This window comes from Homo sapiens, chromosome 7 (genome assembly GCF_000001405.40).
Source record: "Homo sapiens chromosome 7, GRCh38.p14 Primary Assembly".
NCBI classification, from domain to species: Eukaryota; Metazoa; Chordata; class Mammalia; order Primates; family Hominidae; genus Homo; species Homo sapiens.
In genome coordinates, this window is record NC_000007.14 from 31729814 (window position 1) to 31755557 (window position 25744).

The window sequence follows — 25744 nt, forward strand, 5'->3', positions numbered from 1 at the left end:
CCACTTGGGGAAGCAAAATATTTTAAACTATTCTCAGGAGCCTTCTGTAGACAAAGCATGAAGACACAATTTGAGGGGCCAAATATACTTCCAGGAAGGACACGTGGTATAACAGGGAACTTTGGAATGAGACTCATGGGGTACAAGTATCAGCCCCGTCACTCACTAGCTATGTCTTCTGTGGCAAGTTACTCTACCTCTCTTAGCATCCATGTCTCCATCTATACAATGATTTGATGCACCTTCCTCACCTGGTTGATCTGACGAGTAAGTGAGATCATGCATTTAAAGCATCTGATTCCCCTAGACGTTAATTCAGTCTTGGTTTACCGTCCTTTCCCATCATATTCCTCTTGGTAGCTGCGAACGTGTTTACACTAATTAGGTAGTTCACCAATAGATACTGTGTTGCACAAACCTACACAGCACAGACACACACACTCACATACCCAGATGTCAGCCTTTCAGCTCAAAAGACATATTTCAGGAATGCTGACCTCCATCTCAGCTCTCAGGTTCAGTTTCTGCTCTCTTCCCTCTGCCGTCTCCTCATTCCTGCACCAGACTTCCAGGGTCACCTCAGGGCCACTCGTGCTCTGCAGTGTCATCCCAGCCACCCTTCCACTACATCTCAGCCTCTCTAACCTCCCCACTGGAAACTAACCAGGGTGTTTGTCTCAGTCTGATCTGATTCCATCCATCTGAGAATTGCCCCTGTGCAGTATGGGAAAGAAAAGCAGGCCTCCAGGTTAACTCAGTTAAATAAACATTTACTAAATGCCTTTTTATTTTTCCGGTTGGAAAGTGAATCCTACTCTGTGCCAAGTACTTTATTAGGTACTGCAGATATAGAGGTTGAGTCGTTTCTGTCCTTGATGAGCCAGGGAAGACAGTCATGTCAATAAATAAGCACAAGCCTCTGTAATAAATGCAACCATGGCTATGCATCGGAGACACAGAAGTCACACATGAGATAGTCGGGTTTCTTCTGCTTGGAAGGAAGTGAGTGGATGGAAGAAATGTAAAGATAAGATGACAAGTCTGAAAAAAGGGTTTGAAGGATGAACAAAAGAGGAAAGCACACTGCAGACAAAGGAAGCAACAAAAAATGGACCTAAAATATCCCAATAAGTCAGAAAAATCTAACTACTGGATCAGAAGACACAAGGAGAGAAGGAGAGTCAAACTAGAAAATTTACAGATAGGCAAATCATGGAGAGGGGGGCGGGTTCCCAAGCTACGTGCAGGGGGAAGTGACCTTCCTTGCCCCATCAAGAAGAGACTTTGAATGTTATCATGAGAAGGAATGATGCCGTGTGACTTCTGTTGCAGAAGCTCATAGAAGCTGGAGGTGGGGGTGGTATGTTGGGATCAAGCCCTGAGGGAGGCGGGCAGGGAAAATAGGAAGCACACCTCACCAAGCTCACAGGAACCCGCAGGACCCGTGTAGGTGCCAAAGTGGGGCTGAGGATCAACTGGCCCGTTCATTTAGCTCTTCAGGAGCCCTAGCCAATCACTGGCTAGGAACCACCTCCTAATATCATTAAGTACAACATTGGGGTGAAAGGCAGGGAATTGGCACTTTTTTTGAGAGAGAGAGAGAGTCTCGCTCTGTCACCCAGGCTGGAGTGCAGTGGTGTGATCTCAGCTCACTGCAACCTCCGCCTCCCCGGTTCAAATGATTCTCCTGCCTCAGCCTCCTGAGTAGCTGGGATTACAGGCACGTAATCCTAGCCTGGCTAATTTTTGTATTTTTAGTAGAGATGGAATTTCACCATGTTGGTCAGGCTGGTCTCGAACTCCTGACCTCGTGATCCACCCTCCTCGGCCTCCCAAAGTACTGAGATGACAGGCGTGAGCCACTGCGCCTGGCCAGAATTGGCAGTTTTCAATCAGCAGGCAGAATATTTCCAGAAGTTCCTTTTCACTAGCACCCGGGTCTGGTGCCAACCTTCCCCCAGGCTAATCTCTTGCCGTCAGCCAATGTGGCCCATATTCTGGCAGAGGGAGAGGACAGGGTTGAGGAGAGAAGATATTTCTTTCCCAGAGTCCTTGAGTGACTACTTCTGCATGGTTTACCTTTCCTAGTGCTCCAGCACCTCCTCCAGTTCTGACCCTGATAAAGTGGGATGTTACACAGCAGGACTCGCCCCATTGGAGGAGGAAATACTGATGAGGAGGGTGTATCAACCCAGATGGATTGCTTCCCAGAGGACGCCTGCACGCAGATGCTCCCACACCCACTCAGATATTCCCGCTGGTTGTGCGGCCCCGCACAGCCCAGATGCGAGGTGCGGGAGGAGGGGCTTTAGTACTTCATTTTCCTGAGACATTCCCTGGGAAAGCTCTTCCTTCTTCCAATCTTTTCTGCCATTCATTTGTTCTCTTCTTGTGGTGGTACCAGCTGAATTATGGTAAATAACTCATTTTAGGCTATTTTTGAGGGCTTCAGTCATTATTGGACACCACCTGGACATCAATGTCCAGTCATTGTATGGGTCACTTTGGTTAGAATACAGTGCCCAGTTGTTGGACAAGTCTAGGTGTTGCCGTGAAGATTTTTTTTTAGAAGTAAGTGATATTAAAATCTGTAGACTCTGAGTAAAGCACAATGTGGGTGGGCCTCATCCAATTAGTTGTAGGTCTTAAGAGCGAAGACTGAGGTTTCCTGAAGAAGAAATTTGACCTCAGGACTGCAGTATAGAAACTTTGGCTGCGTTTCCAGCATACCTGGCCTACCCTTTGGATTTCAGACTAGCCAGATTCTACAATCACATAGGCCAATTCCTTTAAATCTTTCTCTCTCTCTCTCTCTCCTCTCTTTCTGTGTGTGTGTGTGTGTGTGTGTGTGTGTGTGTGTGTGTGACTGGTCTGCTTCTCTGAAGAACCCTAATACACCAAGACACTTAGAGCTCTTTATTGCCACAATGTGTGTTTGGTCTGCTTTACATTTAACCGTTAATGTTAGGAAAATCAATAATGGTAAACTGTAACCCAAGGGGGACCTCGGGGATTTCTTGACAGTTGTCCTTGGATCTAATTCTTCAAAAGATAGCACTGACTGACGAATTAGGTGAATGAAAAAAGTGATTCATCTGTACATTAAGGCGGGATTGGAAGGTGGTGCTATCATTTTAGGGGAAAATGTCAGGCTGTGAGCTTAGAATTTCCATTCCTAACGGAAAGCCATTCCATAAGGTTGTTCCAATGAAAGAAAAATAGTAAGCATTCTTTCAATGTCTATTTTCTTTTGTTCCCTGGATCAGGGTTAAAGGTTTTCCCCTAAAGGGCACATACATATTTATGAGCTAAATGGACTTATGGTGCCTAGGTTGTTACCTCTCAAATGGATAGAGACTGAGCACCTCCTTGCCGTCACCTAATACCTCCTTTCCAATCACCTGGGTAACATCTGCGGCCCATGATTGAGGTGGTGGCATTGGGCAGGGATCTCTAATCTTTGATTATGGCTTTGGGAGGCCAATGTCATTGCTGAGCATATTGCACAGTCAACTTGTAGAGGGGATGGTGAGAAGACCAGGGTGGTGAGGTGGTGGTAATTGGGATTCCTAACTCACAAAGCAGTTTCACATTCAGTGTTTTTCTGATGCTCCTATTTATCTCATAGGCAGAGAACAGCCACTATGGCTCCCATTAAGCAGATAAAGAGGCTGACGTGCAGAGAATCAGGTGACTTGCCCAAGTTTTCAGAAGCAGTAAGCAGTTATCCTGTCATCAGAATCCAGGCTTTTGCATCTGAATCCTCATACATTGCCATTTATATTCCTGCTGCCTGGAATGCAGTGACACTACATACCCATACATACATACTACATTACATGCCTTCATCTCTTTTTGAAGTTATTACTAAAACACTGGCCATTAAAAATGCTTCTTTCAGCCGGGCACAGTGGCTTATGCCTGTAATCCCAGCACTCTGGGAGGCTGAGGAGGGTGGGTCAACCTGAGGTCAGGAGTTCAACACCAGCCTGGCCAACAGGGCGAAACCCTGTCTTTACTAAAAAAAACAATACAAAAACATTAGCCAGGCATGGTGGCAGGTGCCTGTAATCCCAGCTACTCGGGAGGCTGAGGCAAGAAGATCGCTTGAACCTGGGAGGCGGAGGTTGCAGTGAGCCGAGATCATGCCACTGCAATCTAGTCTGGGCAACAGAGTGAGACTCTGTTTCAAAGAAAAAAAAAATGTTTTTTTCATGCATAAAAACGTTTTGGATCTTAAAGAAGTAATAAAACTACCCCTCCCCCACCACCAAAACTTGATTCAGATGTTTTCAGAAGGCATTTGTTCCACAGCTCTTTACTGAGCACCTAGTATGAGGAAGGCACCGTATGGTGTGATGCCGAGTAACACACAGCCCCTGCCCTGGAAGAGCTGAATCTCACAGGGGAGCTGAGATGTGTGTATGGAATATTAGAATCACATATTTTATATCTGAATGGTCGTAAAGGTTAAAGCGGCTCTAGGGCCCCCCTCTTTCATCAGAAAAGGGGCCCCAGAGGTTGGCAACCTGCAAAAGCCACACAGAATTCTAGCAAAAGAGTCTCTTGGCTCCTCGTCCGAAGGTCGGTCCACTTCTCTGCACTGCTGTTGGTTAATACAAGTGAGAGTATATGAAAGCCCCTGCACCAAGGAGCCCTGGGACGCCACAGGATATTTTAAATTTCTAAGGGAAATACAGCAGGGATTTCTGAGGGATATTTGTCAGACTCCATGTGAACTAGTATTTCCAATTAGCTTCCCATTTCAACATGCACAAAATTCCTTTTGATGATGTCATATCAAGCTGTGTCTTAAAACTGTTTCGTGCCCAAGAGCAATTATCGAAAAAAATCAAGATGGAACAGGAAATAAGGGCGGTGTTGTCCCATCTCATTTCAAGGCTTGAGAAGCTGTGAGGCCCCGGGGCACATATGTCCCATTAGTAAGTAATTGTGGTAATCTAACAAAAAAAAATTTCTTCTTTATATATGAATAAGTTTTTCATATGGCTGCCAAGTTGTTAGAACATAAAGACTTTAGTTGTTTGGACCTAATAACTTAAAAAGTAGACTAGGAATATCTTTTGGCCTAGAGTTGCCGAGACTATTTTAAAAGTTTAGGGACCTCTGCAAATTGAAGCCTTGCTACTCTAAGTATGGTCCCCCAATCAGCATCTTTTGATGTCACCTGGGAGCTCATTACAAATGCAGAGCCTCCCGCCCCACCCAAATCAGAATTTCATTTTTACAAGATCCATAGGTGATTTGTAAGCACTTGATTAATATTTGAAAAGGATTGCATAGGCAGGGTGCAGTGGCTCACGCCTGAAATCCCAGCACTTTGGGAGGCTGAGATGGGCGGATCACTTGAGGTTGGGAGTTTGAGACCAGCCTGACCAACATGGAGAAACCCTGTCTGTACTAAAGATACAAAATTAGCCAGGCATGGTGGTGCATGCCTGTAATCCCAGCTACTTGGGAGGCTGAGGCAGGAGAATCGCTTGAACCCAGGAGGCGGAGGTTGCAGTGAGCTGAGATCATGCCATTGCACTCCAGCCTGGGCAACAAGAGTGAAACTCTGTCTCAAAAAAAAAAAAAAAAAAAAAAAAAAAAGCACTGCCTTTAAGTGTCATGAGGGCAGTATAAGCAAACGTCCCAGGCCTGCTATTGCCTCATCAAACCATACAGAAGGCATCTATCCGCTGGGGTCAGACTTCAGATCCTGCCCTGGACACTTAGTAGCTGTGGATGTTAGGTGACATTGTGAACTTTGAATTTCAGTTTCCTCATCTGTCAAGTGAGAATAACAGCTGCTTCTGTCACCTTGGGGTAGTCATAAATGTTAAATGAAATAATGCTTACAAAATAGAATGTCTGCTCCTGAGTAGAAGGTGAAAAAACAACCGTTTCTTTTTCCTTTTGGGTCTGTGGCTCTAGGGCATGTTGTTTGTCTTCTTCTGTGCCTTTGATAGATTATAATTGCAGAAGTGGCGAAATTGTATATACGGTCATCCCTCCGTATCTGTGGGAGATCGGTTTCAGGACCTCCTCCTCATACCCAAATCCAAGGATGCTCAAGTCTCTTATATAAAGCGGCATAGTATTTGCATATAACCTATGCACATCCTCCCATATATGTTACATCATCTCTAGAATACTTATAATACCTAATACAATGCCTACACATTCACGTGGATTCAACAGTGCATTGCTGTGTGCAAATTTTTTTGTGGATTTTTTTTCCCCAAATATTCTCAATCCATAGTTGAGTGAACACAAGGCTGTAGTACCCACAAATACAAAGGGCTGATTGATTGTAGAGTCAGTGGGGAGATGAACGCCCATGAGAACAGCCAAGCACATGCAAAGACGCACTCTCGTTCCAGGTCTTGTACCAGCAGGTACTCCCTGGAAATGTGGGCAGGCTTGCCTTAGGGATTTCTTTGTCCCTACAATGAGGCCTGTAGACAGAGAAAAACTGGCTGTGGGCTTGATTTTTAAGTTTTCCAAGGGCAGCCCGAATAATCCTGCCTAATAGACAAGGACACATTCTTCCCTAAGACTGTGAGTTCCCCAAACTGGAGACCCAGGTTCACTCCTACTGGATCCACCCCACACCTAAGGCAGTGCCTGGAGACTGGAAGGGCTCAATATGTGTTTGCTGACTTGAGTGGAACGTACCAAGCCAGCCTCCATTCTTCTCTATCCTGGGAAACCTTGGTCCAACCGTGTGGCTTTTTTCCCTACACACCACCGCCACCTGCAGGAAAAATTGTCACATTGCAGTTGCTTGCTAATGCTAGAGCCTTTAACACTTGGGAAACACTGATTTGGAATCTGCGTGTTCAATGTGTTGTGATCCTTCATGCAAGGTTGAGGTTTATTTCTGCCTGGCAAAATGTTTTTTTCTCACAGATAAAAATGTTATAGAGTTAATGCTATGGGTGCACAAAAAAGGAGACATGATATTCCAAATTATGAGAATCCCTTGTGTGGGGGGAGGCTCAGTGTAAAATTAGGTGGGGAGGCCGAATCAAGTTTCCTTCAGGCATCTGCAAAGTAGCCACTTAACGCAGTTGATGTTCTAATTACAAACTAGTTGTTCATTATAACAACTCTTCTAATTCTTTTTTTCCCCCTTTAAAAAAAACAAAACAAAACAGAGTCTCACTCTGTCACCCAGGCTGGAGTGCAGTGGTGTGATCATGGCTCACTGCAGCCTTGACTCCTGGGCTCAGGTGATTCTCCTGCCTCAGTGTCCCAAATAGCTGGGACTACAGGCATGCACCACCACACCAGGCTAATTTTATTTTATTACTTTTTTATTTTTATTTTTATTTTTTTTTGTAGAGACGGTATCTCACTTTGTTGAGCAAGCTGACCTTGAACTCCTGGCCTCAAACAATCCTCTCACCTCAGCCTCCCAAAGTGCTTGCATTACAGGTGTGAGCCACCATACCCCACCAACTCTTCTAATTCTAACCATAGCTATAGAAAAAAATATATAGATAAATGAATACCACCACCATTAACCTAGTTTGGTCTCTTTGCTTCATATACAATAAAACTGTTTCTTTTGAAACCCAGAATCAAAAATGTAGCTTTTCAGTAGTTCAGACTGACATGCCAACATAAGTCTGAATTCACTCTCAAATATAAAACATTGCCTCTACTCCAAGATATTGTAGTGTAGAAAAGTAAGTCCAGGCTGGGTGCAGTGGCTCATGCCTGTAATGCCAGCACTTGGGGAGGCTGAAGTGGGCGGATCACCTGAGGTCAGGAGTTCGAGACCAGCCTGGCAAACATGGTGAAATCCTGTCTCTACTAAAAATACAAAAATTAGCTAGGTGTGGTGGTGGGTGCCTGTAATCCCAGCTACTCGGGAGGCCAAGGCAGGAGAATTGCTTGACTTAGGAGGCGGAGGTTGCAGTGAGCCAAGATCGCACCATTGCACTCCAGCCTGGGTGAGAGAGCGACACTCCATCTCAAAAAAAAAAAAAAAAAAGTCCATTTCTTCTGCAATAACCATTCAAAAACACTCTAGTTTTGATCATCATAAATAAGGAGAGGTAAGAACCAGAGATTTAAGCCCTGTTTGCCTCAAAGGACTGTTATATAGGTTAAATAACAGCATAGAAAACCTGAAAAACCCTAGTAGATGCCCATAGGGATTTGTCTCCTTCCCCTTTGGGCTGGAGTTCCTTTACCTATCCCTGCCCACCTTTCCGCTGCTGTCACCCAGTCCTCTCCTGTGCCCCAGTGCTGGCATCAGCTTTAGACGATGCTCAGTGTACACCTCCCTCCAGCCACGCAGCCTAGCAGGCCAGTGCGAGACCCAGGAAGAGTCGAGGGTGAGGTGAGAAGGGCTAAAGAGAGGATACATGAGCCCAATCTCAATGGAATCAGGGTGTATCAGTCTGTTCTCACGCTGCTAATAAAGATATACCTGAGACTGGGTAATTACAAAGGAAAGAGGTTTAATGGACTCACAGTTCCGCATGGGTGGGGAGGCCTCACAATCATGGCGGTAGGTGAATGAGGAGCAAGTCACATCTTCACGGTGGCAGGCAAGAGCGCTTGCGCAGGGGAACTACCATTTATAAAACCATTAGATCTCCCGAGACTTATTCACTACCATAAGAACAGTATAAGGGAAACTGCCCCCAGGATTCAGTTATCGCCACCTGGCCCTGCTCTTGACAGGTGGGGATTATTGCAATTCAAGGTGAGATTTGGGTGAAGACACTGCCAAGCCATATCACAGGTGCTGCTTGAAAAGCAACCCAGCTAGGAGAGGCATTTCTGCAAGGCCATCCCAGGGGGCATAATTCCCATAGCACCAAGCCGCCATGGGCCAGGAGGGCAGCAAGCCCAGGGGCTTCTTGGAGATGGTGGCCAGCTGGTGAGGAAAAAATAAGACTTGGGACTCAGGAAGACCTGGGTTGGAACAGAAGCATCCCCAGGTGCCACCTGTGTCACCTGAAGCGGGGCACAGAGCACTCTCAGCCTGCATGTTCTCCCAGGTAGACCAGGATGGTAATGGCTGCCTCAGGATGTGGTGAGTATGTGATGAACTAGCACAGGAAAGCCTGTGCCATGGAGACCTTCTCACAGGAAATGCTCAGGACGGGTTTGTTCTCCTTGGAGAATACCAGTTCCCCTCCTGACTTCATTCCCCTTCCCCCACACCCCTGCCCCCCACATATACATATGCATGTACCTCATCCTACACCCCTATAAATGCCCCCACCTGCCTGTTTCCATCCTCAAATCCTTGACTTCCTTCTGCTCATGCTGTCTGATTACCTATTGAGTTCTTCTTGCAGAACTCTGGAAGATTTCCTGTTCACTAAAACGTCAGTGATTGACGTCAGCAGTAACTTTTAGACACACACACACACACACACACACACACACACACACACCAGCTCTTCTGGAGCAAATTTTAGTGATGATCTCATCTTTATATGAGTGGAATAAAGCCTCACTCAGGCATCAGCCAGTTCAAGGAAAATTTATAGAAAGGGTAGGGTGCAAGAGAGCCTTCATGGGGTCCCTAGAAATCTACGCCATGGGTGAGAGGGAATGCCCTTGTTTTATAAAGGCTCCTGGAAGCATCGTGATCTTGATGGGAATGTAAATAATCATTCATTGAGCACTGACCATGTGTCGGGCACTATGTTATGAGCTTTAGTGCATTTTCTAATGTAATCATTCCGGCTGCTAGGATATGCACTTAATCCAAAGAAAGTGGTTACTTGAAGGATTGGATCATTTGTCCAAGGTCACACAGCTAGCAAGCCATGGAGCTACAGAATAAGTTCAATAATGGAGGTGTGCTCAGAAGCCCAGTGCACGAGTGGAGGTCCTCCTTATGGTCACGTAGAAGCACACTCTCAGTGCAGGAAAGGGAACCAGTTTGGTGAACACTCAGTCAGTGTTGCCCTCTCCCCCAACTAAACAAAAATGTAAAACCCTAGAATTAGTGTCCTCACCCAAGGAGAACCAATTAGGCACCCAAAATGGTGGTCTCAAACAGCAGTCTGCAAATGGGATTTGCCCACCATGTGGATCATGAACTTTCAGAGGGCACATTGACGTAGAACACTTTAAATAATTTAGTTTCCTAATTTTTGACTTTACTTTCTCTCTCTTTCCCAAAACCGATCTGCCTGAGAACTGGCCTACACGTTCATGCAGGCTGTCATTTCCTATCTTACCTTTTCCCACTCTACAAAAGGAAGGCATGCCATGAAATACTGGCTGTGTAAGCCTCTCTAGCACTTGTCTCCCCATGTCTTGCACCTTTTGCTCTGAAGGGCTAGAATGTGGCATTTCCACTCTCTTTGAGCTGCCCTCATGGGATTCCTTTGGATGGCAATGGGCTCTTTGCTGCTATTTAGGGAATTCTGCAAACAAAGTCACCCACTATGCCACCCTCCAACATGACACAAGAAAAATAACAATATTGGCAAAGGTGTGTTATAACTAATGTTTCTTTTTTTCCAAGCAGTGAATGACTAACATACATATGTTATGTATACACATGCAGACAGGCACATATAGATATCTAATTTATAATCATTTGATGAGTCTAAGTAAGACTTTTAGTGCACTTTAAAAAATTGAGAAAGTGCATGATTCAAATGCCTGGGTTATAAATCCTTCTCCAACTCAAGTAGTTTCCAATTCTTCACTTATAACAAAATTGAAATAAGATCTATTTAAGCTGTCAGAATGCTAGATTACCATGTGCTTATTTTTGACACATTACCCAAAGAGAGTTCAAAGATTTAAGGAACATTACTATAATAAAACTTCTTCTATTTCCATATCCTTATTTATGTGAACTAGTTTTCTCAATGCTAAAAATGAAACATCATATCATTCTAGCAATAAATAATATATGGCAATGGATTCATGTACTAATTGAGGAAAAATGCCTCACTATCTCATCAAGGATTGCATTTTCAGGCCAGGCACGGTGGCTTACATCTGTAATCTCAGCACTTTGGGAGGCTGAGGAAGAAGGATCATTTTAAGTCAGGAGTTTGAGACCAGCCTGGGAAACGTAGCAAGACCCTGTCTCTACAAAAAACTGAAAAATTAGCCAGGAGTGATGGTACATGCCTGTAGTCCCAGCTACTCAGGAGGCTGAAGTGGGAGGATCTCTTGAGTCTAGGAGTTTGAGGCTGCAGTGATCATGCCACTGCACTCCAGCCTGGCCAACAGACAAAGACCCTGTCTCAAAAAAAAAAAAAATAGAATTGCATATTGTACATTTTATGTTTACTAATTTGTTTAACGATATTTATAATATAATGTTGTTTTGATCTTTTAGTCTCAGCTTTGTGGTGCTGTGACTTTTCACCTTTTTTATTTCTATTTTTCTTTATATTTTATCTTTCCTGAGTATTATTACTTATGAGAAATTTGGAAAGTCTACATAAGGTGATGGTAACTAGATTAACTGGTTTTAGCTGAATTTTACATCTTTCTAAAGTTTCATAATATATACCTTACCTTATCCAGCTTCAATCCTTTACCATATTTTAACTTCATATTTTTAATCTTTAACTGTTCCTATTCTAAAATAAATTTATCCACTCAATTATGTGCAGTATTATCAATTTTCTCATTCCTTTCCTTAACTAATATAATCTCTCAAATTGTTACATTATTTCACTTTTCTCTAAATTTCATTCTACTATGTTTTAACTGCTTTGTATCTTATTTTTCACTTTAATTTTCACATGTATTTTCAGTTATTTTTACCCATTTTCATCTTCTTTAGACTTCTAACAAGGTTCTGGTGACTGGGTTTTATTCCAGCCTATATTTTACCTGCCTGTAGCAAGAAAGTTTTGTCTTCCTTTTAGGCAGTTACAGACATATTCTCCCAGAATGTGGCTCATCATAGGGATCAGGAAGAAATGAGCTTACCTAGGGATGAAGACAAGCTTTGGTATGACTGGCATGAAAGGCATAAGGGGTGGAAAATGGCTGTGGCTGCAGAAGATACTGGGGAGGGAGGCAGGGACCAGGTCCCATGTGCCCCAATTCTCTTCCTGCAGCCTCCCCAGAGTTAACAACTTCTGTTTTCACAGCTCAGGCATAGCCCTCATCACATTGTTTGCTAGCTATTTGCTCCTAAAACTATCTGCCCACTGGATGAGAGCTCCGGAGACCTAAGACTGTGTTTTAGTCACTGCTGCATTCTTAGCACCTGAAACAGGAAAGGAATTTGACCAATATTATTGAACAAAGGAATGAATCAGTGGTATTCTAGATCAGGAATAAAGGCATGAAGAAAGAGAATGAGACTGGTACACATTTGTGGACAATGAGTACACGCATCCTGCACATTCCAGTAAGAAAACAATAAAGAACAAACGTCCCATCGGACTTCCACTTGCTCATGAAGACCCTGAGTCCTGTGCTCTTCCGGCACTAACCAGTTTGTAACATAAACTCAGAAGCCAACACTTTCCTAAAGCCATTTGCTGATGGCTGCCTAGACTATGCAGTTTCTGTTTCTTTTAATAACTACAAGTTTCTTATGAATTAGAGCCTTGGGACTACATTTTAACCGAATTCAAGCAGCACAAGCCAGCTGTGGTGGTGCACACCTGAAGTCCCAGCAACTTGGGAGGCTGAGGCGGGAGGATCCCTTGAACCCAGGTGTGTTCGAGGCCACCCTGGGCAGCACAAGGAGACCCTATCTCTAAAATTATTTTCTAAAGCAGCACTTGCCAATCTTCCTTCACTGAAACACCACACTGGTGTTACATTCTCCCCTAAGATCTTTGCGTTCCACATTCTCAAAGATTAATTCACGGAACCCACCTAGGCCACCAAAAGTCATGATAAATATAGTTGAGGGGGAGGACAGGTGGACCAGGAACATTTGGAAATTGTGTAGTGTGGTCCTTTTGAAGTTTCTAGTTCTATTTTGAACCTTCTTCTGAGCACCTGGCCAGCCAATCAAACTGCTCACTGTGTGTCTTATAAACTCTGCAAATGCAAAACTGTTTTCTATTCTGTCCCCAGTGTGGTCCCTCTTCACCTTCCCCACCCTACTCCAATGATCTCTCAGTAATCAGTGCCTACATTCGCCCTCACTGGTGCCCAAACTCTCTTCAACTCTCTATCCAAATTCTGTTGATTCTACTTCCCAAGTTCATAACAAATCTACTATCTCTCTATTTCCAATGCCACCCCCTAGTCTGGCCTCAATTCCTCCCTATCTCTATAGTTTTTTTGTTGTTGTTGTTATTGACTTCTTAATTTTTTCTCCTACCCTCTACCAATCCATCTCCATTTGGCAGCCACAGCAATCTTTGTGAAATATGACTTTTATCCTGCTGGGATCCTGCTAAGTCTTTGTAAAAACTATTTTCATTACATTTAATATCAAGTCTAATCCATAACATGATGTAGCCCTTGCTTATCCTGAGAGTCTCATCTTATGCCAGCCTCCTAGTTGTTCACTCTGCAACCATAACACGGGCCTTCTTCGGATCAAAAGTGTATGCTCTTTGCTCCCGCTCTTCCCCCTCCTTGGAATGTGCTTATCTGTCCTTCAGATGCCTGAGGCTGCAGCCCTGCCACAAGTAAGACAGGAGAGTCAATAGGAGTATAAGAAAAAATGACAGTTTCCACTTCAGAGGACGCTAGAACCATGCTGTCAATGACTGAAGTCATAAAACCACATCAGCATTGAGAAGTTCGCTGGAGGATGCAGTGTGTGTGTGTGTGTGCGCACACACACACACACACACCAATTCTGTTCTGCAAAAAAGTAAAATAAAACTAATGTGTAAGCATTTCACTCAAATTTCAGGGAAGCAGGGTTTTCTACTTAATTAGAAACTGGCTTCTGGAGTAACAACAGAAATACTAACTTAACAGCAACTTAAAGAAATAATAGGGGTTTATTTTTCTCATACAGTAGTAACTCCCAAGAAGTCAGCCAGGGCTGGTGTAGCAGTTCAGTAATTTAATTGGAGCCCAGGCAAATTCAGTCTTTCTGCTCTGCCACATAGAGCATGTCAGATTTCATTTCCATGATTGTCATGAACTCATGGGCTGCTATATCTCCAGGCTCAAGTGGGCACTCCAGGCAGGAAAAGGAGAACTGGAAGAGGCTGCCCCCAGATGTAGGACAACTGGGAAGTTGAGTGTTTAGTGTTTACAGCTTCTCTAGAAGAGACAGGCGGGGGAACAGCCTTAGAAATGGAAGTTGGGTCAGCATTAGCATACTAAGATTAATAAATATACATTAATGGTGCTGTAGTCATTATTATTTCCATATGTAAAATATCATGGATATTGTCATTTATTTAGAGTTCTGTCTTTATTATATTTACTATGATTCCTACAGTTCCTCTCACACTATTTCCCTGAGCTCTATTTTCTTCACAGATTAAGGTTTCTTTATGTAGACAAACACACACACACACACACATACACCTAAACAATATGAGTTTTCAAGAAGCTAATCCCTGTGTTTGATGAAGAAACAAACCTATACAGAAATGTAGTGAATGAAAATGGTATACTTCACAACCTGCTTGCACTTTTGAAATCTAAGACTACATTCATCCAGCTAAAAACTACCTTGAAGGATTCCCTGAAACTCATGCCTCTACAGGACACCAGGTGGCAGTGCAGCCTAAGAAGTGACTGTGAGCGTATCAGGTGCGATCTGTTGCTTGAGTACATCAAATTAAATAAACCAGTATAATTTTTTGCGTGCCTATGGAAACCTTTGAGCCACTTAATCATCATGGCTTCAATCTCATTTCTAGAAATGATCAAGGCATGATATGCCCTTTCAGTGACACCATTGTATGTGGCTTATTAACATTCAAATTCTTTTAAGATGGGAGGCAGTTCATAGAAAACACAACTGTGCTATCTAACACAACATCTCCCAAGGCATTTTAGCCTAGTTTAGTAAGTGGTGAGATCACACTCTGATATTTGTTTCCAAAATTCGGGAAACTGCAGTACTTTCAGTGGTAGGATGTTTGAGGAAAAGAAAGGTTCAGACAAATTGCCTACTTTTAAAGGTAAGGCTCTAAGGGCTGGAGCTGTGTTCCTCTCTTCACCAGGGATTTTGAATCTTAAAAATATAGCAGAGATATGTGAAGAGCAAAGTAGCTTTTTTTTTTGAAAGATACGACATTTCAATCTTTAAACATAAATTTATTTATCTGGATGAAGTGAGATTTTGGCACATAAAGAGATGTTTAACCAGCACAACAGAGCATTAAGATAAAGGCAAAACTATGCTCTCTCTTCATCTATGGATGCTAATTGATTTTAACAGAATGAAAACTCCAGTGGGTTGGAACCAATTGCCTGGCGCTCTGTGTCGAGAAGGTTTCTGAGACTATTTCTAAGCCTGGTGAGAAAAGTTAGTGATTGTCTGCTGGAAGTGGGAGATGAAGAGTGGTAATATTTTCCCTGAATTTATACATTTCCCATCCCTATCTTGTTTCCATTTGGTACCACATCCTCTCATTACATTTTCAAGGATCTGTTTTACATAAAGCACTATGTTGATCACTACGGAGGATATAGTATGAAAAAGAAATGGGATGGTCCCTGCTCTCCAGGAAATGATAATATAGTAGGAAAGCACCAGGATCTATGTAATTTGTGGGAGAATGATTTAAGTGTCTCAAATAAGTAAAATGAGCATGATGAGGAGTAATCCCAGCAAAAGGCCACTTTTACTTGGAGAGATCAGGGACCAAGTCCCAGAGAAGTTGAAAGTTTATGTGGGGCCTAGGAGAACAACTAAGATTTCCAAAGGCAAAAGGCAAGTAAAAGACATTTAATGAAAATGAAGCCATGTGAACAAAAATGAGAATAGACCTGGCTCAGTCAACAAGCAGCTCCATGTGAAGGTAGGTGGTGCAAAATAGTAATAAGTAATAGATGTCACTTCATGAGAAACTTTGTCCTTTGAAAGTTAGTATATTCCCCATGTATTTATTTATTGAACAGAATTGTCTGGTGATATTTATGTCTTTTTGGCTTAGAATATTTGAATTCAAATGCTTTGCACTCATTTGATCTCTTTATGCTGAGTATGGTGGGCGAGTAGGGGAAAAGAGAGACCTTTGAGCAAGGTGTCAGGAGTACCCAGATCTCTCTGTAAAATGTTCGCTTCTCGTTGACAGGTACTGAGTCTTCTCAGTGACTGAGAGAAGCCCTCTGGGTAAGACAGGAGTGGACAAACTTCTCCAACAGTGGAGAATGCACATGTTGGCAAACTTGTTCTTCATGTTTCTCTTGATAAAGCCTCTGCCACTGGTCACTGGAGGTGGGTTTTCTGGCTCCAGGGGGAGTCTGACATGAGAGGGGATATCTCTCTTGCAATGGAGGGCTGTAATTCCTAAGGAAGGAACCCAGAGGTAGAAGCAGAATCCCAGAGAAGAATCAGTGACAAATGTGAAGATGGATTTGGAGGAATGTAAAAGATAAAGACTTTGAGAATGAGTCACTAGGAAAATGATAGTAGCAATAACAGAAATATAGACGTCAGGGAGAAGACTGTACAAGAGCTGCAGGAGAATATGGGAGTGACACTTACAGCACTCCAAGACACTCAGATGAAGAAGTCCAGCAAGTCATTAGGAGTGCAGGTACAGGACTGAGAGAGTGACAAGGACAAATGCATAGATTCAGAAAGTTCAAGGGGAATGGGCCTGTGGAAATATCACTGTGCTCTGGCAGTTTGGATATCTATCCAAAATAGTTGGATTCCATTGCTGACTTTCTATAAAAATCAAATATAAGTATATTTCAGCAGTAGAAACCGGATATGGTTCAGTGGGGGAAACCAGTTTTAAACATGAGAACACAGCTTCCTCTGAGACTTCAGGGAAGAATGAGAATGGTGTAGAGTCAGATATCCACAGAAGTAGGAAACACAAAAATTAGGGAATTTTTTTTTCCCACATGGACTATGCTGTCGACATGTCCTAATTGAGAGGACAGGGAAAAAAAGCCACAAGTTGGAGAAAGAGCCAACCATTTGGATTAACTGATGAGAGGTGGGGAAGATGCATTCAATGAGCAATGGTGCATGGAGGCCAGAGGTCCAAATGTGTGGGTGGTAATGTCAGCTCTTCTCCTAGAAAGGTAGGTAGGTCTTCTTCTAGAAATGCTTCATGACATGGGTTCAGTAGAGGACACAATCAATCCTGGCCTAAGAGGGAGAGGGAAACTCACAATCCTGAGTGTTGAGAAGAATCATGCCATTGCTGCTGGTCCTGAATTCTATGTTGGATGACAGGAGCATGGTTGAATATGAAAAACTTGTGATGCCAGGGAGCAGGCTCAACAAAGGGGCACACCAGAAAAGTCTGTGTGAACAACACAATGCATGGAAAAAATATATAGCAGTGCAATCAAAGGACCTCAATTGAACCTCCTTTCTACCTTTCCTCACTAGTTCTGCAAACTTTCTGAAAAATTTAACCCATTGGCTAATCAACAATAAGGACAGTAAGTCTTCCCACACAGGTTCATTATAAGAGTTAAAAAATATATTAGCATATATTAAAGTGCCAGGAACCTGGTGGGTTCTCAAAAATTATTACCTGGATTTTGAAACCGACTATGCTAGAGCAGTGTTCTATCATTTCAAATTTTTGCCCACTATGATTGTAATCACCTGATGAGTTCTTCCTACCTCCTGCACAGAAAAAAAAATCAGTCCACTGAGATCTCAGCATTGCAGTAGAGAAAGAGTTTAACTGACACAAGGCTGGCCTACACTGGAGAACTTACACTTACTTATCACTTACATCAGTCTCCCTGAAGGCTCCAGGGCTCTGAGTTGAGGAGATTTTATGGGCAAGTTGGTGGGCAGGGGTTAGGGAATGGGAGCTGCTGATTGGTTAGGGATGAGATCATAAGGGTGTGGAAAATGGCCCTCATGCACTGAGTCTGCCCCTGGGTGTGGTCACAGGGTCAGTTGAGTCAGGAGTCACAAGTCCAGGTGGAGTCAGTCTGCAAAACATCTCAAAAAAAAAAAAAAATCAGTCTTGGGTTCTACAACCCTCTGGCCATATAACTCCTGAGCAAGAAAGGATTATAAAAACTGTGCTTACATTTTAGCAGAGTTCAGGCTCCTCCCATAATCCTGTTCTTGTGGCCTTTCGTCAGTCTTACAAAGGCAGTTTTTGGTCCCTGAGCAAGGAAGGGATTAGTTTTAGGGAGGGACTATTCTTATCCTCCCTTTCAAGTTAAACTATAAACTAAATTCCTTCTGAAGTTAGCTTAGCCTACACCCAAGAATAACCAAGGGCAGCTTGGAGATCAGAAGCAAGAGGGAATCAACTATGTCAGATTTCTCTTACTGTCATAATTTTGCAAAGGCAGTTTCACAATCACATATATTTTTCTCTCTTGTTATATTTATTTAGTATCCTTTTACCTTTGTGTCTTACAAAAGTTTGGAATCTTTCTTTACCTAGTGAGTCATAAGAGATGCTGCTAAAAGGGCAATGACCATACATGCATTGTCTCCATAATGACTGATATCTAGACGAGATGGTTCTATAAGCTTGGCTCAGCTGAATCTCTTATTCAGGTGTACAAAACAAAGCATGCCAGTGAACATTCACAGAGAACCCAAGTTGAACATTATGAGTTAAAGATGCAGTTAAAATATGAACATGTGAAGTTAAAATATGCAGATGAGGAGAGTATTCCACAGTTATTATCACTTGTTATTCCCCAAAAGCAGCTTTTCATGTTCTGTGAATGTAACAAAAGTATAATGAATACTCATAAGTCTCCTAGATCAGTCTTAAAAATAAAACCACTAGCAAAGGCCTACTGTCACCATCTATGATGCAGGGCCTTCTCTTGCCTCAACTGGCCTTGCTGACGGCACTTGAGGCTACATCAGGGCCACGCTTGGAGGCCAAGTCATGAAGCCTTCACCCACTCCCACCCTCAGTCCCAGGGCATCCCCAGTTCCAACCTAATTTGACAAACTCTCAATAAATCAGCATGTTGTTCCAACAGAGATTTCTTTTAAATTGAAAATGGATCAAAGAGAATATAATTGATCATGTGAAATTGCAGCCAATGGGAAAACAAACTGAAAGCTTGCTGATGTACAAGTGGCCTTTCATCTAAGGAAGAGAGATTTGGATGAAAATCCTAGACTTAAAAAATAGTGGCTATCAACCATCTCTACCTTCTCCTTCTATCCTGCAGGGACAAGAAATCCTAACAGAGGGATGCTGGAGTGTCTGTTCTATTTCAAAAGCTTGGTGGCTGTGCTCATGATAAGGCTTAACTGGCTTGCAGAAGGAAAAGGTAGGAAGACAAGAGAATTTGCATTCTCTAAGCACCTATAAATGAAAGTCACTGCCCTACCTTTGTGAGGTTGATATTATAACTGAATGGAAAAAAAAATAAACAAGCAGAACTCCTGGGCAGGGTCAAGTGGGGTGGGCAGGAGAGGTGGTGGTGGAAGTGGAAAGGATATATTTATTGGGTTCTTTCCTTACGTGGATTGGTCTTGCCCTAAGGATTGGATTTTGTTTAAGGGAAACACTGCCATTTCAAATCTGCTATGGGTTTTTTGTGCTTATAGGAGTGTGACCCAGAGTCAATGCCCATTGTTTGTCAGGGTGAGCTCACATGTCTTGAAAATATGTGGTGCTGAAAAAATGTGGTGAGCTTCTACGCCTTGAAAATGTGTGGTGTAGGGGGTGAGAAGTGGACCATGCTGCACATTCACAGGAATTTGAATGCAACAGGGGAGGAGAAAGGTCTTGGTAGAAGAAGGGCGAGAAGATGCAGACAAATCGGTGCTTCGGGAATCCACAGCCTGTGAGAAATCCTCTGCAAAGGGAGGCTGATATTTTGTGGTCGCTGTTGTCTAATTTTTTTTTTTTTTTTATTTGAGACAGAGTCTCACTCTGTCGCACAGGCTGGAGTGCAGTAGCACCATCTTGGCTCACTGCAACCTCTGCCTCCCAGGTTCAAGTGATTCTCCTGCCTCAGCCTCCCAAGTAGCTGAGACTACAGGCACGTGCCACCACACCCAGCTATTTTTTGTATTTTTTAGTAGAAACAGGTTTCACCATATTGGATAGGCTGGTCTCGAACTCCTGACCTCATGATCCACCCACCTTGGCCTCCCAAAGTGCTGGGATTACAGGCATGAGCCACCCCGTCTGGCCCTAATTTTTAAATTTTTAAATAGTTGATTCTGCTGTGCTATCATCCTAAACCTTTAGGAAAAGTCTGCTCTCTGCAGTTGACTTGTGTTAGTGGAAATTTGGAAGAATAAAGCAATTAATTGTGTGTGGAGAAGGAGATAGGGTAAATAGGAACAGAGTGAAGGGCAGTGGTTGCAGGAAGTAAGTCTCAGGGAGGTTGTGGGAGAGTCCTAGTCAGTCATGAGGGCAAGAGACGGCCACAGTAGATGAAGGCCCAAGGAGGCCAAGGGCGTGGGGATACAGGTGGAGAAATTGTTGGAGGTGGGGATGTCAGAAGCTGGTGCCTGTGGGAATAGCTAAATGGGTAATACATGGTGAAATTAACTCCTTTTTACTGAAGTTGGAGATTATCTACCTGATGTCATGGAATTAGTAAGGGACATTACCCTTGAACTCAGGGCCTAACTTCTTTTTACCATACTCCACTCTCTGTCCAAGAAATAATAGCTAATATTTATTGAGCCCTTGCTGTAAGGCCAGCCCTGTGCTATAATGAGTCAGGAATTCTTATTATTCTCAATTTACAGCTAAAGAAACTAAAGTTTAGAGATATTATGCAATTTAGTAAAGCTCCCAGAGCAAACAAAAGGCAGTGTCAGGATTTAATTGTAAGTTTTTCTAAACTCCAAAGTTCCAATTGTTTTTTTTGTTTTGTTTTGTTTTGTTTTGTTTTTTGAGACGGAGTCTCGCTCTGTCGCCCAGGCTGGAATGCAGCGGCGTGATCTCGGCTCACTGCAAGCTCTGCCTCCAAGGTTCACACCATTCTCCTGCCTCAGCCTCCTGAGTAGCTGCGCAAAGTCCCAATTCTTAACCACTAGCAAGATAGCTTGGTCTGGAATGATATAAACTGAGTTGATAATACAGGTGTTCACCTGCTGACTAAACTCTATTATGGGTTATTTATATTAACAAATTTATTTACTGGGTGTATAGGGAGAAAAAGGTTAAAAAATGAACTACCACCTAAACAATAAGGAAGAAAATTGAAATGGGTAAGTTATACTATTCACCTTGACAAGATGTTCAGGGCTGAACAGCAGCAAATTTAGCTAACATCTAACATCCCGGAATTTCAGAGAAGAAAATGGCTCACATACAAGAAAGTCTGTTAAAAGCATCTTTTTATTTGCTGTAAGAATATAATCTGCATTTCTATACAATCCATTATGCAAAAAACATGGTAGGCATTTTATAAGCAGTGCAAAATCTCAACATCTGTACATTTGCTCCATTAAAATATTAGCAAAGGTTGAAAAAAACTCACATCTTAGGAGAAAAGAATACAGATTTGTTCCCCAGGAACATGGCTTCCAACATCAAGAAGCACAGCCAAGAAAACACAGCCTCATTAAATTCTCAATACCTAAGATGGAAGGTATTGACAGATAGGTAGGGAACATTATTTGAGGAGGCTACTACTCCCATGGGCCTCCTCAGTGTGTAGCCAAATGACTTTGTACAGCAAGCGCTAAAGCATCTGTGTATAAACAGATAGGAATTACCTGTTGAGTTAACCTAATCCAGGTGGAACAGACACTACCAGCCTGCAGAAGGGCCTTCTAACCCAGACACCAGGCAGGGAGCAAAGAATTGCAATCGCCTCCTTAACGAAAAGTCACAATGATTCGTCTTTTTGTATAGCAATTAAATTTCTCTGAAGTATCATCATAAAGCACATTATAAATAAACTGCCCAATAGCATGGTAGGCACTAAATTCCGGAACTTGCTCAACTTGAATAACTGCAGTTTATTGGAAATGAACTGCAGGGAATGAGAGAAGGAGAGGACACTAAACTCTTTACAATCAAGCCTGGAAGGTCGAGGCCATCCGGGAACAAACAGCTCCTTCTTTGTAGGGCTGTCCTGGAGAGTTCATCCTGATTATGAAATGCTCTTAGCTACTTCTGTTATGCACCTATTACTGGCCAGGCTCAGCCACAGCAACCAAAACCTACATTATCATTAATCTTCAATACAAAGTGCAGAGTGTGTATATGAATCCTAGTTTCTAGTTAAGCAAATGGAGGCATCAAAAAATTATGCCATCCGAGCAAGGACCTGCAACTAGTTATAGACAGAATAGGATGAAGATCAGACTGGCCTGAAAACAAACCTAGTTTTCTCACTGCACCAGGCTATTTCTGAAGAGATTGAAAGCTATCTCTAGTCTTGAGCCTTTCCTTGCTACTTCTGTGATTTTAGTCCTGAATTAAAAATCCTAGGGAGAGACACAGAAGGGCTAACAATGCCACCATAAAAAGAGGTGAGTTATAAAACTATGGATTCCACCAACAACTGTGAGAACAATCAGGATCTCAAGGGCTTTAGATATGTAGCGTGCTGTGAAGAGGATCTGAAATGTAACTTAAAGGCATCTCTAGCCTAGTTTAAATTCTTTATTTTCAGTCCAGAACAATCTGAAAATAAAGAATTTAAACTAGGCTCAGAATTTTACACCCTCTTGGCCTAGGACCACAAAATCAAACTGACATCTTTTGCAATGACTCTTAAACCTGCAGTCTTTAAGGCAAGATTTTTTGTATCATCTACTGTGGGTAGAAGTAAAAGATTAGAGGAAAATGAAGCCAAATGCATCTCTTGCAAACCTTCACATCCTTCAAAGTACATGAGGTTATTGGGCATGAGGCACAATCTTCATGAGGCACAAAAATCTTTTTTTGTTTTTTAACTTGGATTTGCTTTATAAGCGTGAATTCTGAAATGTCCATGAATACAACAATTCATCCGTCTTCTCTTCCTTTTAATATTTTTACATTCAGAAGCACAACTTCTGTTTTGAATACATTTACTTTGATAGTTACATATTTACTTGAATTTTAAATAAGTGTATTTACATTTTAAATAGGTGTATTTAAAATTGGAAAATATGTTTTTATCAGTGCATTTCTTAAATATGATGATTATTAAACCAATATTCTTTTGGGGGCAACTAACTTTTAGAGATTGAAAAAAGTGGCAATGAGAGGAATTTTATTTTTTTTTAAGTTTGTGTCATTTTAATTTTGGTCCAATTTAGACTTTTAGAGACTTATACCATAAAAACACCCCTCTTGCTAGTTTGTTGCTGGCGTCTGGGCTGATCCCACATACAGCAATTGAAAAGTCTATACAAGAACAACAAAGAGGAAAATCACATACAACTTTCATTTCACCTTGGTGGAGTCAACCAGGATAGTACCTGCTCCAACAGCCTCCAAGGGTCTTGGAGGTGTGTCCTGCTGTGGCCAGTGGGTGCTGAGAAGCAGATAGGTAGACCCTCCTTCACTCCCTCTCTTCTTCCCCTCGGCCTATTTTCTGTTCCAGTTATGTGAGATGTTCTGAATCTTTTTCATTTTGATCCTCTGATCCAGCATCTTGTACCTTGCAGGATGCTCATCAGTTTTCTTTGAGACTGAAGGTGCATAGGAGCTAGATGCGTAAGCAGGGCGTTTAAAATGACGCAAAGGAGGCTTGATGACTGGCGGCCATGGAAAGGAAGACAGACAACGGTTAGCCTCACCCACGACATGCCACAACCTAAATATTGTGAGCAACTTCCTCTAGACCTGTTTGTTTCCTCCAAGACCAGGAAAGAAGCAGTTTGGATTCTCCCTGGAAACCTTATGGCAGATAGATGAATAAGCACGTTACCACCTTGGTCATTCAGTTAAAATAAATAAATGGAAGAAATTTCTAGAGATACAGTGATAACTGCAGTACATAAAGGTCCTTTGACAATGAATGGATGGGGTTAAGGGAGTGAGAGGAAGCATTGGGGTCATTTCTGGGAACAGCAAAGCAAACAAGGTGAACACAGGTATATCATTAACAGCATTTAGCATTGTATGTAAGCTTTTAGTGTTTGGAAAGTGGCACTCAATCCCCAAGGGATACTTAAAAGTGCATCATTAAGAAAATATTTATAAAACACATATAAAGATCTTGTATTCAAAATATAAAAAGAATTCTTAAAGCTCAAGAAAAAGAAACAACCCAATTTTAAAATGGGCAAAACATCTGAACAGACTTCACACCAAGGAAGATGTATGTGTCAAATAAGCATAGGAAAAAATGCTCAACAATTAGAGAATTTCAAATTAAAACAACTATATGCTACTACACACCTCCACAATGCTAAAATCTAAAAAACTTGACAACACCAATTGCTGGCAAGGATGTAAAGTAATGGGAACTCCCATTCTTGCTGATTGGAATGCAAAATGGTACAGCCACTTTGGAAGACAGTTTGACCGTTTCTTATGAAGCTAGACATAGTCTTACCATGCAATGCAGCAATTGTGCATCCTAGGTATTTACCCAATTGATGGAAAATGTATGTCCACATAAAAACCCACACATGAATTTTTGTAGAATCTTTATTCATAAGTGCCAAAAGCTGGAAGCAACTAAGATGTCCTTCAATAGTTGAGTGGATAAACAAATTGTGATACATTTATACAATGGAATATTATTCATTGTGATAAAAAGCAAATTAACTATCAAGCTATGGAAAGACATGAATGAATCTTAAATACATATTGCTAAGTGAAAGAAGTCAGTCTGTAAAGGCTGTATAGCATATGATTCCACTTATACGACATTCTTCAAAGGACATAACTATAGAGATGATAAAAACATCAGAGATTGTCAGGCGTTTGGAAAGAGGAGGGATGGTTAAATAGGTGAAGCACAGGGAATTTCTAGGGCAGTGAAACTCTCGCATACAATACTGTAGTGGTGTATATATGACACTACACATTTGTCAAGACCCATACAACTTTATAGCACATAGAATAATCCTTAATGTATGCAAATAAAAAAACTATTTAAGAGGTCGGAGGAATCCTAGAATGAAATGCAAATTGTAACAAGACAATGTAAATGCATTGCCAATGTAGGAAACAACCTCACTGAAGAGTGGGGGACAAGACGGTCATCGAAGTAACCTTGTATATGAACAGAATCTGCAAGACTAAAGGCCGAAGAAGCTGTACACAAGCACTCTATTCTAGCTGATAAAATTGTTTCCCATGGGGCTATTGGTTATCAACTCTAAGACCACTCTACATGTATACCAGAATTCAACAATTACGTAAACAGAGGGTGGATGGTGAGAAATGTTGGAGGAGGTTAGAATGGTCCATGTGGTAATGAACTTGATTATATCAATATGAATTAATATTTAGCTTAATAGAGATACAGGTGATTATATATAAAATACTTATAGATATGTGTATGTACATGAGTTGGCATTCACACATATATTGTCTTGCTCTATCAGCTGAAGGGGAGGGGGTCTAGGACCAACGAAGTCACTACAAATCTAGAAGTCTCAGCAGCAATAAGCACATCTACTGCCCTGATCTTGGTTTCTAAAACCATTTGCTAATAGCAGAAACCAGGGCTCCTTGCAGAAATGACTGATTCCAGAACTCGGACACAAAATATACAAGAAGTACCTGAAGCATCTTGTAGAGCCAGA

The 25744-nt window shown here is 42.1% G+C and overlaps 1 protein-coding gene across 17 annotated transcripts in view; it reads right to left on the minus strand.

Annotated features, from left to right (window-relative positions):
* PDE1C (phosphodiesterase 1C) overlaps positions 1-25744 on the minus strand; it is an 811448-nt gene that overhangs the window by 113037 nt on the left and 672667 nt on the right. For 9 of the 17 annotated variants that reach the window (NM_001191058.4, XM_017012264.1, XM_017012265.1 and 6 more), the window contains one exon: positions 21366-23740. The exons of the other annotated variants lie outside the window; for them this stretch is intronic. In NM_001191058.4, coding sequence (NP_001177987.2) covers positions 23571-23740 — 170 coding nt within the window. In that variant the 3' untranslated portion in view covers positions 21366-23570. Of the gene's footprint in view, positions 1-21365; positions 23741-25744 lie in introns of those variants that run through there. 17 annotated transcript variants of the gene reach the window in all.